Genomic DNA, 17,669 nt, shown 5'->3' with positions numbered 1-17,669 from the left:
ACTAAGTAATATTCCATTGTCTGGATGTACTACAGCTTGTCCACTCATCTATTGAAGGACACCTTGGTTGCTTCCAGTTTTTGGTGATTATGAATAAAGCTGTTACCAACATTCACATAAAGGTTTTTGTATGGTTACAGTTTTTCCAATCAGTTGGGAAAATACCCTGGGAGCACGATTTCTAGACATATGGTAAGATTATGTTTAGCATTGTAAGAAATTCAGATCTATTTTGTTTAGAAAAAAAATTATATTGGCCGGGTGCAGTGAGTGGCTCACACCTGTAATCCCAGCACTTTGGGAGGCCGAGGCGAGTGGAGGTCAGGAGTTCGAGACCAGCCTGAGCAATATGGAGAAACACTGTCTCTACTAAAAATACAAAATTAGCCACACATAGTGGCGTATGCCTGTAATCCCAGCTACTCGGGAGGCTGAGGCAGGAGAATCATTTGAACCCGGGAGGCGGAGGTTGCAGTGAGCCAAGATCGTGCCATTGCCCTCCAGCCTGGGCAACAAGAGCGAGATTCCATCTCAAAAAAAAAGTTATATTTCTGTATTTCTATTTATATTAGGCATAAAAACATAAATGATTGTTATGGGGTTTATGCCTGATTTTATTTTTTATTCACTTCTGTATTTCCCAAAGTATGTTTTAAAGTAATTCAAGCAAGTAGTATGTTTACAAACAGAGAAAGGTTAATTTTAAAAGTACAATTAAATAAAGTACAATTATTTAAAGTACAATAAATAAGAAAATAACAGGAGTAAACCAATCCATTAGCTATGGGTGGTTTACTTTGTCTCACTAGATGGCCATCTCCTGGCCAGCAGAGATTGTTTGATTTGAGCTGAAACATTATGAGCAGTAAGGCATCGCTGTGAATCATTAGAATGAGATTCTCTGTTCTCTTTGTCTGCAGTTGGCGTTCCCTGCTGTTCCTTTAGGTTTCATTGTGCCTCATACTCAGGAGAAGCAAAGGAAACCTGGCCTGATAATGTCAGACCCATGTGCTAATAATGAATCTTCAGCTTCATTTCTGAGACCAAGCCCTACCTCATATTCCAGTTCCACTCACCAGATTCCTGTCTCATTTTATGCACTCAACTGTAAAAATTCTAAAAGAAGTATTTGCCTAAAATTAAGCAAGCTCTCAAGTTATCCAGTTATAAGCAGAAGTTTGCCAGTAAATGAGACTCTGTAATGTACCATTACACTCGAACAGGAACCAAAAAACGGAGTCATCTCATTACATTTTGGGAAATATTGTTGTCATTATCAATTGTTTTACTTTTCAAAGAAGGAAGAAATTTGGCATCTGTTATCATACAGAGCACTGAGTAAATACATTAATCCTATTATGAACATGAAGCAGGCACTTATAATGGTACCTTCATATACTTATTATAATGTTGACAAGCTAAACAATATTCCTCCTCCCTCCAAGGAAGATGTATGAAATTTTTATGCCTCATTATTTATTTCTATGTTTTCTGGATGACAAGAATAAACTCCATTTTCAGAACTACCAAAAACCTGGTAAAAATAAAAATCATAAGGCTGGTGAATCCTGTATCTCCGTTAATACTGGGTATTATTTGCTCACAAATGAAGTCGACAGGAAGAGATGCTTACCGGAGCCGAGACTCCTGGAAACATAATGGTTGCTTTTGATACTCTCACCTCCAAGGCATAAATTATTAATGTTGGGTGAAGCTACCTCACTGAGTTTGCCAATAGATGAGTGAAATTTATATGCTGTGGTTTTATTTTTAGCAACACATAGGGAATAAGAGAGAAATCTGAACAACCTGCAGAAAGTAACACCACTGTGTTATTGTTCTGGGTACTCTAGTAACAGTGGCCCAGCCTTAAAGGTGGCCCTCTCAATTGTCACTCATTTCCCCCGACTCAGGTGTCTCAATGGGGCCACTTGCATATAAAAAATGCTCATGTTTTAGTGAGATAAATAAATCCACTATCTAAAATGACCATGTAGATCAAACAGGATCAAGCTTTGAAGAGAGCTTCTTTCTACTTTCTACTTAAATATCAGGGTCCTGCTCTTAGAGAAGAGGCCAGAAATCTAAAGTATTGTTTATGTTGCTGTATTTCCAAAAGTTAAACAGGAAAGTTTCAGGGGATAAACTAGATGCTATCCTTTACTGGACAGGAGGAGGTCAAGAGTAAATCTGTTCAACCACTTTTAGATAGCACCCTGCATCTAAGGAAAGCATGTTTAAAAGCAATCACATTTTATAACAATGCTGGGAAAAGGGAAGTCATTATCAACACCCCAATCTTTAAATTAGACCAGCAGAGGTCTGTTCTATTTATTCTGTCGTTACAAATACTGCAAACTGGCCAAACAATGTGACTATTGGTAAACCAAAAATTAATGTGCTGACAGGAAAAAAACACCCAGCTAGCCAAATAAACACTTCCTAAATTATTCCATCAGCCTCCCAAACCACTTCGTTATTCATGCCACGTCTCCATGCCGGGGTGACACTATTCCTTCTGCTTGAAATCTGTTTCCCAATTTCATATGCCAATGAAAACCTGGTCTCATTTGAGGCCCTGTTCTCATTCAAGAACCTCCATCAGAGACTCACAGTATGTTTATCTATCTCCTCCTGAGTTTCCTGAGAGTTGCAACTGTGCATTGTCAATCCTTACACACTTTCAGTGCCTATATTATGCCTAAATGGCAGTGAGAGTACACTGAAATAGAAATGGATTCAAGAGATATGTTGTACTGGGACACTAACACTGTGTTCACCTGAATATGGTCAGTTCAGTGTTGAGCATGTAGAAGAGAAAAAAACATTTAAAACAGGATTGCAGTCATGTAGTTGCTTCAAAAGCCACCGGAGTCATTAATTTCTGTGTATGTTAAGTTGAGATATACTTTAATATCATCCTTTCTTCACAGGAGATTGAAGTGTGATATGAAGATATAACTCTTTCTTCAAGGGAAGTAGGTATTAACTCTTACCTACACCCACAAGCATGCTGTGCCATAACTTTGTTTCCACTACAAAATAGCAATGAACAGAAATGAAGCCAGGTGTCCTTTTAACTAGCAATAACAATAATCATTATAATTTGTTGGGCTTTTTGTTTACAAAGCAATTTTGTGTGCATTATTTTATTCTCCCAGTATTCTGTTCCCGAATCAGAAACTTTGCTTCTGTTCAACACTTAAAACTTGGAAGACTGATTTAATAAATCTCTCATCCTTAGAGAATTAAACTCTACTCCAGCTCTACTCTAAATCAAATTACCACAATGCCAGAATAATCTCTAAGACCTTGAATGTGCTTGGCTCATGTAACACAAAAATGCTAGCTGGATATAGGAAGTCTTCCAAGATCAATGAAGGGGTATCATTCTTCTCTCTTATACCTTCTATGCCACAACAAACAGAATAGAATGACTCCTGCGAGTAAGGTTATTCCCTTAAGAAACTAAATGTTCAGGTAGATGGTGTCTGGGATCCTGATACTATTCCTTTAATTATCTGGAAGAAGTTCAGGCTGATGTCACCATCACATAAGGCATGAGAGAATAAGGAGAGAGACTACTGAGTTAGAACCATGAGATCTTTGGGGATGAATCTGATGCTTTAAAATGGTATTTATTAAACTGTCTAGGAAAGGGTATATCTTATCTGAATCAGATACCTAGAATCACTATCTATCTTCACTTTAGTTTGGGGAACACCTCAGTCCTCTAGAGGTCCCCAAACTATGAAGTACCTCCCTCAAGTCCAGAACTCTCTCTTATAATTCATCCCAGCCCCACCCAGCCTGTGCTCAAATCCAATCTGTCCCTAGAAGGAGAGAGTGAGAAGAGAAGTAGTACTTCACATAGCTTGACATTTTGCCTATTTCACTCTTGTTGGTTTCTTTCACTTTATTCTCAAAAGTGCTAAGGATGTACAAGTGGCTTGGGAAATTGGGGCTATTCAAAGTCATGGTCTTTTGCATTAGTTGGTCTCTAAAAATAATTACTTGACCTTGCATTTGAGAGTGAGAACTCAAAGGTAAATAGTCATTTCTAAGATAATCAGGAACAACCTTTACACAGAAAAGTCAGTTTGCTGTTATATTAGCTGCTCTACAGAGTCATAGGAAAAGTAAACATAGTACTTATTAAAGAGTTCAAATGGACTTGTAGAGGGTTCCTAAATATGAGAATATCTACAGGGGAATGTATATTACTATAACAAACATTTTATTAGTGATTGAAAGTTTTAACATTCATTTACAAGCCTTTTATTCCTCACAAGTTATATTCTAACAAATAGAGTAATATGACGACCGTGATCTTGAGCTCTTGGCTTTCCTACTGACCTACAGTGAATGAATGGAATTGCAGAATATCCTCTGGTTTATGTTTCAGGCTGCCAATCAATCAAATGCTTCGGAAAACACAAGCCCCCTTACAGGGTACTGCTTCAACCACAGCTTATTCTGCGGATCAGGGCCACTTCCCAGTTTTCACCAACTGGATGCCACTGCTCCAAAGAGCTCATATGAGCTTCTGAAGCATTTCATCTGATCAGGGATGCCTCCTAATTTCCAAGTCTTCATTTCTGCAGCTGGATGTTAATATGGTTTGGCTCTGTGTCCCCACCCAAATCTCACTTTGAATTGTACTCTCATAACTCCCATGTGTTGTGGGAGGGACCTAGTGGGAGATAATTGAATCATGGGGGCAGTTTCCCCCATACTGTTCTCATGGTAGTGAATAAGTCTCACAAGATCTGATGGTTTTACCAAGGGCTTCTGCTTTTGCGTCTTCCTCATTCTCTCTTTGCCGGCTGCCATCCATGTAAGATGGGACTTGCTCCTCCTTGCCTTCTGCCATGATTGTGAAGCTTCCCCATCCACGTGGAACTTAAGTCCAATTAAACCTCTGTCTTATGTAAATTGCCCAGTATTGGGTATGTCTTTGTCAGCAGCATGAAAATGGACTAATCCAGTAAAGATGTCCTGACATGTAATGGAAATTTAATGCATTGGAGATAGGTAAGGAAACTCTCATAAGCTCCATAGGTGCGGGGGATGTAGTCATGCCTAAAACTTGATTTCAATCTCCTTTACTGCTAATGCATATTAAAACACCCTGTTTTGTTTGTTTTAATTTTGTCATATAATTGTTTTCAGGAATTGATGACTGTGAAAGGGTGTTTCAAATTAGTCCTCAACTCTATAGATAAGACTAAAATCAAAAGCTCAACCAATCATGTTGTATGTCATCAAAGAGAAAACAATCTTTTCATTTATACATAGATACCTGGAAACAGTAAATCAAAAACCAATGTAGGCTGGGCATGGTGGCTCATGTCTGTAATCCTAGCACTTTGGGAAACCAAGGCAGGTGGATCACTTGAGGCCAGGAGTTCAAGACCAGCCTGGCCATCATAGTGAAACCCCATCTCTACTAAAAATACAAAAATTAGCCGGACGTGGTGGCAGGTGCCTGTAATCCTAGTTACTCAGGAGGCTGAGGCAGGAGAATTGCTTAAACCTGGAGGCGGAGGTTGCAGTGAGCCGAGATCACGCCATTGCACTCCGGCCTGGGGGACAAGAGCAAGACTCAAAACAAACAAACAAATGAAAACTAATGTAATATGTGTAAAGCTAGGAAATACAAGCAAACAAACAAACAAATAAAAAAATCCATCATCAAATGGCTTAATATTCTTAAGGGAATATGGGCTGATAATGACAAATGTTAATTAAAGCAATAATTTTCCTTAATGTCCTTAATATTTTCCTTAAATGATGTTTTGTTTTATAGTAAGAAGGAACACTTAAAAACTAAAATGGGAATGTCCTTTATCTGCCAAAATACTTACTTTAGAGAGGCCAAGGAATCTGAATACTGCCAAGTCTGGGGTAATATACTTTTAAATCATTTATATGCAAAACTGGTAACCTACGTAACGACGCCCGGTGATTCTTGAGTTTCCTTCTAACTGTGTTCTAACAGTCCTAATCTGTTAATCAGACTTCAGAGATGACTAAAAACTGAGGACATGTCAGATAAAGAGAAAATGTCATAATTCTACTTGCAGATTCCCAAGTAGTCAATATTGGACTTTTATTATTGTTATCTCCCTTTTTAAAAATCAATTTTAAAGCACACAGATAATATACTCATATTTTCTTGAAAAAATTAAAAGCATTAAGTTTAAAGATAAAAATCCCCTTTAACCACCACATGCAATTCTTCTAATCCATTCCCACCTGACCCAACTCCACTAATAAAAGTAACAGGAAAATAGCCAAGAATGGCATCTTCTATGCCAGGAGGTGTTCAAAGAGGTTATAGGTATACCTTATTTAATTTTCATAACTTCCCACTAAAGTGGCTCCAATTATTCTCCCCATTTTGCAGAGCAGGAAACTGAGTCTTTACATTCTTAGGTTCCCCATCAACTCAGGTATCCACTGTTAGTAATTTGGGATACATCCACCCAGTTTTTAATCTATGAATAACTATACATATATGGATACCCACAGAAAATACAGTGTTGCTGTTTTATTTTGTTTAATAAAACCTTAAATGGCATCATGCTATACATATCCATTCCACAATCTACATGATTTTTCCATGGCAGCTCATAGAATTCTAACTCATTCTTCTTAATTGCTGCCTTGTATAATATAGCTGTATTATTCTCGTATCGACAAGCAGGGAGGTTATTTTCTAATTTTCACTAACATAAACAATGCTGTAGTGAACTAGTCTTGTGCAAGCTTCCTCATGCACATGGGCAGCTGCTAGGGTGGACAGCAAGATGTGGAAGTGCTGGGTTATGGGTGTGCATGTTTAAACTTTAACAGATGTTGTTAAACTATCCTTCAAAATGTTTACCACTAGTATTTGAATACCTATTTTCCTGTAATCAGGCCAAAATCTGATATTATCAAACTTCAACATTTTGCCAATCTAATGGGTGAAAAATGGGATCATGTCATAATCTGCATTTCTCTGATTACAATAAAAGTCCTATTAGGCAACACCATCCAAACTGGTAATTAAACAATCTAGTGAGTTAAAGGTATATATACATTAAATATATGATTTTCTTTTAAATTATATGAATGTGTATTTCCTCTTTTTAGAGACAGGGTCTTGCTCTGTCACTCAGGCTAGAGAGCACTGGCATGATCAGACCTCACTGCAGCCTTGAATTCCTGGGCTCAAGCGATCCTCCTGCCTCAGCCTGCTGAGTCACTGGGACTATTGGCATGCACCACAAGGCACAGCTAATTCTATTTTTACTTTTATTTTTGTAGAGACAGAGTCTCGCTATGTTGCCCAGGCTGGCCTCAAAGTCCTGGCCTCAAGTGATCCTCCCACTTTGGCCTCCTAAAGTGCTGGAATTATAGGCATGAGCCACCGCACGTAGCCCACTCCCATTTTTTGATGTAGGAACAAGGCTTCTCCTTTAAGCAAGGAACCACTGACTAGGGCTGCACATTCACCTTCTGCACTGATCACATCATCTCATCTAAGATTCTCTGTTTTGGTTTCTTATGTGAAGAGGGAACGTAAAGACCTTGTGAAATAATCTGAGCACAGAATTTAACACCAAGCTTTTAGTAATTTGCCTTCATCAAGACTTTCCAAAGCATTTGGCTTAATTTTCACTGAAACAGCTCTTTCCATACTTGTGTTTCATTGGCTTACATATTATCTAACTAAATTACATAATTACAATGGCATTCAACCAGTATGAACCAGTTTGGGAACCAGCAAACCAGCTCTTGGAAAACACACAATTAACTGTGGGAGCAAATGCATAGAGGTGTTCTAGTGAATAGCCTACCAGCCATCCAGGCAAGCATGCTTTGGCTGCAGCCAGTATCTTTCAGAGAGAGATTTGCAGAGCTGGTTAAGAGGGTATCCACTGTTCTAGTGATACGGAACGTATTTTCATACGCTTATCAACCAGTGTCCTCTACTGTAAACCATCTGTTCATTTATCTATTTTTCTAACAGATTATCTTTTTCTCAATTATTCACATGTTCCTTCTGAATCCCAGTCATTAATCATTTGTCTTTTATTTATCATAAAAGTTTCCTCCCAGGATTTTGCCCATCCATAAACTACTTTTTATAGTTATTCTGCTTTACCAAAATATTTAATTTCAATGTAATGAAAGAAAGCTTTTTCTTCATAGCTTTTGCTTTCCCTCCCTTTGCTTAGGTTGTAAACATATTCTCACATAATTTCTTCTAATACTTTAATACAGTGGTCCCCAACCTTTTTGACACCAGGAACTGGTTTCATGGAAGATAATTTTTTTCACAGACCAGGGTGAAGTGGCAAAGGGGTGGAGCTTTGGAATGAAACTGTTTCACCCAGATCATCAGACATTAGTTAAGAATCTCATAAGGAGCATGCAACCTAGATCCCTCACTTGCACAGTTCACGATAGGGCTTGTTCTCCTATGAGAATCTCATGCCACTGCTGATCTGACAGAAGGCGGAGCTCAGGTGGTAATGTGAGCGATGAGGAGCAGATGCAAATACAGATGAAGCTTCGGTCTCTCACCCGCCTGCCGCTCACCTCCTGCCGTGTGGCCTGGTTTCTAACAGGCCACCGACTGGTACTGGTCCAGGGTCTGAGGCTTGGGGACCCCTGTGTCAATAATTAATAATTCTGTGATTCTCCAGGTTCCAGATGAGGAACTTGAAGTCTGAAAGTTTTTGATATTTGGCCAAAATTATAAAGCTAGAAATGGTGAAGCTAGGCCCCATACTGATACTTACCTATGTATACTCTCCAAAGCAAATGCTACTACTTTACACCACCATCCTTAAGATGGAATTAAAGTCTGAGAGAAGCAAAGTGGAATATATGACATTAAGCAGTGATGAAAACTGGGATAATGAACATCTTCATATTGTGAGTACATAAATGACTGACATATAAATCATTCATCATCAGCCTCAGAAAACCAGCACGATCTTCTCCATTGCACAGCCCTGATGTCAAGAGGCTCAAGAGACTGGAGGTCTGTGGCAATTATTGAGCAACCACTAGGTGCTATGAACTCTTAGGTGCTAGACACTTAACTATAGGCCAAAAAGATAGTTTTTAGCCTCATGAGCTTACAGTCCAAAAGAGGAACACATATTAAGCAGATCATGCACAGTTATCCCAAAACAGTTGTGTTAAGTACTATAAAGAACTTGGATATAATCCGAATGAATAATGGAGAATCTTTAAAAATGAACCACTGATGATGAGGCCTGCTGTGAGCAAGGAGGGCAGTGGCAAGACAGAAACCAAAGCCTCCTGTGGGCACAGACCACCTAGGGAGGGCCTTGAAGTAGACCTTGGAGTCTTAAGAGGCTTTCTTTGACCATTGTCTCTTCTTTTCCTTTTGGCTGCCCCATTTACACTCAAGTGATACAGTCTGGCTCTGTGTGCCTACCCAAGTCTCATTTTAAATTACAATCTTCACTTGTAAGGGGAAGGACCTCATGGTAGGTGATTAGATCATGGGGGCAGTTCCCCCATGCTGTTCTCATGACAGTGAGTGAGTTCTCATGAGATCTGATGGTTTTATAAGGGGCTCTTCTCCCCTTCACTATGCACTTCTCTCTCCTGCCACCATGTGAACAAGAACGGGTTTGTTTTCCCTTCTACCATGATTGTAAGTTTCCTGAGGCCTCCCCAGCCATGCGGAACTGTGACTCAGTTAAACCTCTTGCTTTATGTATTACCTAGTCTCAGATATGTCTTTATAGGAGCATGAAAACGGACTAATATATCAAGCATTCAGCCATCAACTTGATCTAAATGTATACCTATAGGCCCAACTATGCCTATTCATTCATTCTTCTGTTCATTCAAACCAACAAAAATATTCTGAACACCTGACATGTCTCAAGCAATGCTGCTGAGCTGCACACCTTCATTTCCATCTCTTCACCAGAGTTTTTCCACATGAATGTTCTACAAGTTCCTAAAGCTCTGCTTGCTCAAAACCAACCTCTATTTTCACATAGTACCCTGAATTGTGGTAATTTAGGTCACATGCCTGCTATCTGCTACCAGAAAGCGGGTTCCCAAGGGGGGTTTATGTATGATGTGCTTTTGTCTCCCAGATAATCTGACTGTCTAAGAATCTAGTAGTAACAGGTGAAGTTCTGTTACTGCACTTATTACATTGTTGTATGATCCATGGTTTAACTTTTTCTTTTGTGTACTATACTTTGAGCTTTTTAAAGATTAACAGGAATAAATAAAGAATGAATGGATGGATACCTTATATTTTCCTCAAACACAATCTTCCTACTGATTTCAACATATCATTATGCTCACTACTTACTCTCACCACCACCAACTCATCATCGTTCCAGCGGGTCTAAATCTTGGCATTACCATCTCCTGATTCATTGGTCTTCTTTAATATCTAATGAGCTGTCAAATCTTGTGCTTCTACTTCTGCAACCTTACCCAAATCTTTTCTACTCTCCCTGCCAACACCTTGGTTCAGACTTACTACCTCTTGAAAAAATTATTGTGACTGGTCTCCCATTTTGGTTCCCCAACCAAATCCATATTACACCAGCTGTTGCCACATAAACATTCCTGAATTGTAATCCCATTCTACCAATCCCCAGTTTATGACCACTCAAAGCCTCCATTTAATCCACTGCATTAATTTTAGGCCTCTTGGCTGGACATTAAGGCTCTATACATTAGCCCATCTGGGTTTTGATTCTAATCTCCCACTGCTTCCCTACTGACACCTACTCCTCTTCTCTGCCATTTCCCAACCAAAAGGACTATGTGCTTTTTATTAAATATATCTTATGTTTTCCACCTGTTACTTCTGCTTGGGCACTTGTCCCCAATTCCATACTTTGAGGCCCATCGTAAATGTCAGCTTTTTCATGAAGTAGGTCCTGATGCCCCAATAGACGAGTTCTCTGCCTCCTTTGAATAGCTGCAGCTCTTTGTATTTCTTTCTCAAAGTTCAATCTCACCTTGTTTTACTCATAGTCATTTCATACTTACCTTGTCCACTGCAATACAAGCACCCTGAGGATCAGTGGTTTCCTTATTTATCTGTTTCTCTGCAGTCTAGTGCAAAGGCACTCTCTTTGCAAGAGGCAATCAAATATTTGTTGAACTGAGCGAAAATATACCGTAAGCTCCTTGAGGACTGTGACTTCAAGTACTCTGTGTCTCTCAGAACTTAGTGAGTGTTTTGTACATAATAGGTATAAATAAATACATAATAAGTATTCATTTAGAAAGCTCTCACCAAGTAACATAAAGCAAAAAAGAAAGAAACCTGATTTTAACACTCTTTATTCTTTCCTTTTGTTTTGTATGATGATGCCTAACTCTTACAGGTGGTGCTTATCATGTGCTAAGCACTGAACTCAGTCTTACGACTATCATCTCACGCAGTACTCACAACAGGACTATGAGGCACTGTTTTTTCCTCACGTGATGGGTGGGAGGTTTAGAGAAATAAAGAACTTGATTCCACAGTGAGCAAGTGGCAGAGCTGAGACTGAAACCCTAAGTCCTCACCATCATGCCATACTTCCTTGGTTGTGTTTGCTGAGCCCCTTCAATGCAACAGTTTGAGTTTAAATAAACTTTTAAAAAACACTGTAACCTACATCTTAGTATCATTCGTAAAATAAGTATCAAGAACTTCTCGATACTTATTTTAAAGAGTGTTTTTTATTTAAAAAAAGAATTGTTAAATCTATTTTATCCACCTTCCAATGTTAAGCTTCAAGTTTAGGAGGCTATTGGTATTTTTTCAAATGATGTGTATGGTCAATACTTGATTATGTTCCCCAAAGGATGGAGTAGGTAACAAAGACAACAAATTACCAAATAACTGAACAGTCACTTAATTTTGGAAAACAGTCTAGAAATTTCAGATCAAAGATAGCTATTTACTCCCCATTCACCATGCAAACCTTTACACACTTGAAGTGTACTGGGATCCTGGACTCTGGCTGGCTGGCAGAGCAAAGGGGCGAGGCTTGTCACAGATAATCCACAAATAAATCAGAATGACCAAATATTTTTCTCTTTTCAAATTCCTATTCAGTCTGATTCTGACCACAATGCTGAAAAAGAATACACCAAGTACCAAGTAGTTGACAGATTGCAAAACTGCGAGAGAAGGAAAAAAGTTATACTGGTCCTAAATATGATGATGAAAGCACACTGAGAAAAAACTCACAAACTATACAAGGTGTTGCTTCTTTGGTTCTAGAGACATAAGCATGTGAAGCAGAGACACACATTAGTAGATTTAAGGAGAAACCACTGCCAGACTACTCACAAGTAGCTCTCTAGCCTCTACAGTAAATATTATTATTAAGGATGAGATTGATAACTCAAGCTGAAACTATATCAAGCAAGTACAAACTCTGTTGTTTAGTAAAATAAAGTAGAAAAATGACTACTGATATTTCAATACTCAGGTCTTCGATTTATCCATTCAAAACAAAATAAACACCATGTAGGCAGTATGGTAATATTAACTTTTAGTATTTAGTCATAGCTACTTTCCTGGATTTAAGTGTTAATGTTAAAATACATTATCACTCTAGATATGATGAATCTCTGTGTCTTAAGTGATACTTTAAAATCCAAATCCCATTTATGAAGCAAAACTTCATTATCTAGAGTATATTTTCATTCCTTGAAAATGATCTAAAATATTCACTTGTTGATACTTCAGTATTTCAAGTTATAGATCATATATTCAGAAAAGAATTAGGGGAAAGAATCAGCCTCCAATATTCACAAATGTGTAATGGAAAATAACAGCCCTAAATACTCCTGTGCACTGCTTAATATTCTGCCAAATTCCTCTGCTGTAGCAGAAGTCATTAAAACAAAAACAAAGCACATTATAAAAAAACGAGTTTAAGTCAAGTGAAAGTATTATATGACATTGAGAGCTTCTTAAAAATACCTTTTTAACTCAGTTATGAAAAAAGCAAATATAGGTAATCAAAAAATAAAATATAAACAACAAAAACAATTTTGCTCCAATACAACTAAATACATATTCTTAACAATTTGTAACTGCTTTTAAGAAATCATCTATATTATAATTAGCTAAATGTTTTTATAGATATGGGATGTTAAGATGGAATGTGTATACTGATTCCTACTCAAAAAAGGGATTCCTAACTTCCTGTTTCAGATCTTCACAATTCTCACATAAACTCAAAACCCACAATACCCTTAATATTGTGAATGTGAAGTACTGACTCTCTGGAGAAAGACTTATCTTGAAGTAAGTTGCTTTTCCTTTGAAAATGACCTTTGATTCCTTTGAAAAGCAACTTTGTCAACATTACATGTCTAGAATAATGAAACAACCATTCATCCTGATTTGGATATGAGTTAGAAGAGGTAGAAAAAAACAAAACTAAAACAATCCTCCCCTCACAAACCTCAATCCTACTTCATTATTTTTCCCTTAAATTTAGCTATTTTAAAACACGAATAATTTTGCTATATTTTATGGAGCATTCCCCATCAAGATTAAAGAAGGGCTTATTCAGAGACAAACAGGATACAGGAGTAATGGTGCAGCTTCCAGGCAAGCTATAAATAGCTGCAGCATTTTCAAGAAATCTTGTGCCAGTGTGTAAGTTGCAGTTAAAACATGCAGTGCAGATTTTATTACAATAGTGTCACCAAAATTCATTGTTAAGTGAGAAAATCAATTCTTACCAAGTTTTCTTGGTTCCTGGCTGCTATTTTCTGCTCTTCTTCTGCCCCATTTTTCATGTATTTGACCTCTTCCACTGGTTTGATCCTATACTCATCTGAGTGCCAAAAAAAGAAAACACATTTTATAATTTTTTTCCCAATAGTAGAAAAGTGTCAGTCAGAAAATCCCAATAGTGTAATTTGCTAGACCCTTTCACCTGTGGCCTTCATATGTGGTTCATTTGGAACAATCTGGAAGAAGCTTAACTAGGCATCTTAGATCTTTTTATGAGCCCCTCTCCTCTGTCTACTAGAAAAAGCTCAGCATCACGAATGCTTCTAATCAAAGTGTCACTGCCTGGTCCTTCCACAGAGAGCAAATGCTGCAGAGGAAACAGGATACTCCATCTCTAAAGACTTTTTGAAATGTATGTTACACTAGGACATATCACAGAACTGTCTGATAAGATTCAAGAGAATATTCTTATTTTTCTCCAAGAGAGTATTAGTCCAAAATGCCTGTGCCAACAATTTTCAGTGACATATTCATTCTTTAATTTCCCTTTTGAAAAAACAGAGTAAGACTAAAGAGTTATATTGATAAATAGAAACAACTGAAGAATTGAGACTTTTCTTTCTGTGATCCCTATATTAAATTTTAGCAGTCTGCAATTATTTCACATTAATATATATATTTATTTCATATATATATTTATTTCATATATATGTATATATACACTTTAATTCAATCTCTCTGTAAAGTCATATGCATGAAGAGCTATTATACCTAACAGATGAAATGGTAGGTACATCAGTCAAGGCTGGAGAGTATAGTGGGATGTGGATGGGACCTAGCCTCCGCAACAGCCAGACAGAGAACACAGATCCCAGTATCAATATACACCATAGAACAAACTCAGGAAAACTTGCAGCTTCAGTTCTCCAGAAGACTGATCACTATGATGACATTTCCATCAGATTCCTGTCAACAGGAAATGATTTGAGCGCACTAAAGTCAAAAATAGGTGTGACTCTGAATCATTCTTAACCCAATCTGTGGGAAACATCACAGAAATTGTGAAATTAGAAAATATCATCAACCAACAAACTAACGATTGTCTGGCATATAGCATGAAGTAATGTCTAACTATAGGAACCACCTGAAAGACAGCTGTCTATCACTAAGAGAGTTTATATTTCAGTTCAGAAAGTTGCAATATATTTTCTTATTAACTATGATTAAATGGGTAAAAAGACTATACTCTTATTTAATTTCTTATCTTAGTATCTATAACACCACTTTCTAATATAGTTTCAGGTTTCCTCATCATATCACCCCTTAACACACAACTCCCAAAGATGTTCGTTACAGTAATATTTCTGCAAGTAATTATGCTGTTCAAATGTTTCTCAAAATTATCATTCTTAAGAATGTAATACATTTGCATGTATCTGAATAAAGACTTCATGTTCACTAAGCCAACTGTTTTTTCCACCTGACAATTTAGAGTTATTATTGATTCTATTTTTTTGTAAAGATATTAGAAAGACTAGTGTGAGGTTCAGTAATGAGCCCTTTAGGAATACCAGGTCCTAAATATATTAACAAGTTAATCAGCAGATTCTGATCCACAATTACAATACAAAAGAATTCTACATACCAACTTGGTATTTCGAAGAGACAAAAATGAATGTAAATTAATAATACTGACAAATTTGATGAAGGATTATTTACTGAGAATTTGGAAAAACAATTGCTAATTAAAAAAGAGAAGACACTGACAAATTTGCCCCCAACACAATTACACAGAGATAAAAATAAAAGGTAAAAAAAAAAGGTAAAAATGGGCCTCCCTAACTTCAGTTTGGGACATTAATATTTATAAATCCTGGCAGACTGAGATAATTACTCTTAATAATTTTTTTGTTTGTTTGTTTTTTCAGACAGAGTTTCATTCTACTGCCCAGGCTGGAGTGTGATGGTGTGATCTCGGCTCACTGCAACCTCCGCCTCCCGGGTTCAAGCAATTCTCCTGCCTCAGCCTCCTAACTAGCTGGGATTACAGGCGCCTGCTACCATGCCTGGCTAATTTTTTGTATTTTTAGTAGAGACGGGTTTTACCATGTTGGCCAGGGTGGTCTCGAACTCCTGACCTCAGGTGATCCATCTGCCTCGGCCTCCCAAAGTACTGAGATTACAGGCGTGAGCCATCATGCCTGGCCTACTATTAATAAACTTTAACTGAACTAAATTGTGAACTTAATTGCTAATGGTGAGTTTCTAATTATTTAAATACACAGAACACTGATATAAATATATATAGGTGAATATATACATGTCTATATATATATGGCATGTGTGTATATATATATATATATATATATATATATATATATTTCTTTATGTATCACAAGTGGATTCTATGATTTTGTCTGTAGGATGGGGAAGAGGGTAACATTTTTGGACCTAAGCAGAACCTTCTGAAAGACCCAGATGGCCCCTTGCCCACTGTGTAGTGAAGGTTTCTCCTAGGGAGGAGATGCCCTTGCACTTGCCCACTGTCCTCTCCCGTCTGCCAAGCCACAGACTAGTGCAGACATACTCTGAACAGCCCAGTGACATTCAGTCTTCATTTTCTTATCCCTCCAGGGAACACAACTAAATTGAAGGTAGTGGACAAACTATTACTACTTTTCCAATATGTTTTTCCAATGAAATGGAAAAGCTACTGGCTACATGACTTTCAAAGCAGCATTATTCTAAACACAGGCCATTTTTTAAATCAAGACAGAATCCCCACCAATTTAGACAGAAGATAGGCTTTAACATGTCATTAACAACCCTGGCTGGCTAGCCAACGTGGTGTTAAGAGGAACACAATAAGATTGGATACAAAGGAAGAGAAAACAAACAGCCACGACTACAAAGCCAGACCTATCATTATTACTTACACAACACACCGCACAAAATCCATCACGGTATAAAACAAAAAAAGCTGGGCAAGATCCTTCAATAGGCCACAATTTGTACAAAGCAAATATTTAAAAATGGTCTGTCACATTCTCAAAGGCTGGTGCCGGGAAGGAAGATATCCATCTGGAAACAGACATCTCATCAGCAAATGCACCACACATTCCCAAGGCAAGGCAGCCATCAGGAACGTCCTACCTCACCAACCAGCCTCTGAGCGAATGAATGAAGCATTTTGGGTTACGACAGTAAAACAATCACTACCAAAATCCAGTTTTCCTTTTGTTGAAGACATGGGGGATTAATTTGAGACTTTAGGTTCCCTTTATCAGAGCCCACACTGGAAGAAATGGAGACAGCCACCGTTACAGCCAGAGGGTCCTGGCGCAGAAAAACGTGCCAACTCGAGGAAGAGAAGGGAGACACAGGACCTGTCTTCCTTCGGCTCCCCCCAGCTTCCTTGCACCTGTTCCCAATTTTTCTTTTCTTCCTGTTGATCTTGTCAGGTGGCTTATTAAAATGCACGTCGGGAACAGTAGGCTGACTCCTGTTCTCTGCATGTAAACAGTTGCAGGCTGTGCTAGTCAAAATAGATCTGGGGTAAAAGCAACGCCTGGGTGATATTTTTAGCATTTTATTCCTCAGATTACATCCAAGTGGGGCTGGGATTGTTCAGTGGCATTGATCAAAAGAAGACTACGTGAGAAGGTGTCAGAGTAGATTCAAATTTTCATCATTTTAGAAAACTGTAAGATCCCTTCTGATCTCAAACAGTAGTGGGTACAGTCTGTTTCTGCCGTTTTTCCTGCTTCTCCCTTGAACATGTACATCTATGAAAATTTTTAACTTTTTAATAATCCTGACATGCCAAACTCATTCCAGCAACCATTTCTCTAGTTGATTCATTTAAAAGTCAGTTCTATTAAATACAAAGGTAACCTCGTGGCAGATCTTCTAT

General features: G+C 37.9%; 1 protein-coding gene across 1 annotated transcript in view, besides 1 other annotated feature; it reads right to left on the bottom strand.

Moving 5' to 3' along the window:
• Nucleotides 1–17,669, bottom strand: part of C1orf21 (chromosome 1 open reading frame 21) — a 241,991-nt gene that overhangs the window by 107,576 nt on the left and 116,746 nt on the right. Inside the window, exon 3 of the mRNA NM_030806.4 lies at nt 13,762–13,856. Coding sequence (NP_110433.1) covers nt 13,762–13,856 — 95 coding nt within the window. The remainder of the gene's footprint in view (nt 1–13,761; nt 13,857–17,669) is intronic.
• Nucleotides 635–1,196: an enhancer, noted in NCBI's record as "OCT4-NANOG hESC enhancer chr1:184489382-184489943 (GRCh37/hg19 assembly coordinates)". NCBI's record gives its function as "activates a minimal SCP1, AML or CMV promoter by ChIP-STARR-seq in naive H9 embryonic stem cells {active_cell/tissue: H9 hESC(naive)}" and the evidence as "EXISTENCE:reporter gene assay evidence [ECO:0000049][PMID:30033119]".

Source organism: Homo sapiens, chromosome 1 (assembly GCF_000001405.40).
Source record: "Homo sapiens chromosome 1, GRCh38.p14 Primary Assembly".
In the NCBI taxonomy this organism is placed as follows: domain Eukaryota; kingdom Metazoa; phylum Chordata; class Mammalia; order Primates; family Hominidae; genus Homo; species Homo sapiens.
The sequence above is the reverse complement of the archived record's forward strand: the minus strand, read 5'-3'. Positions and strand labels throughout refer to the sequence as shown.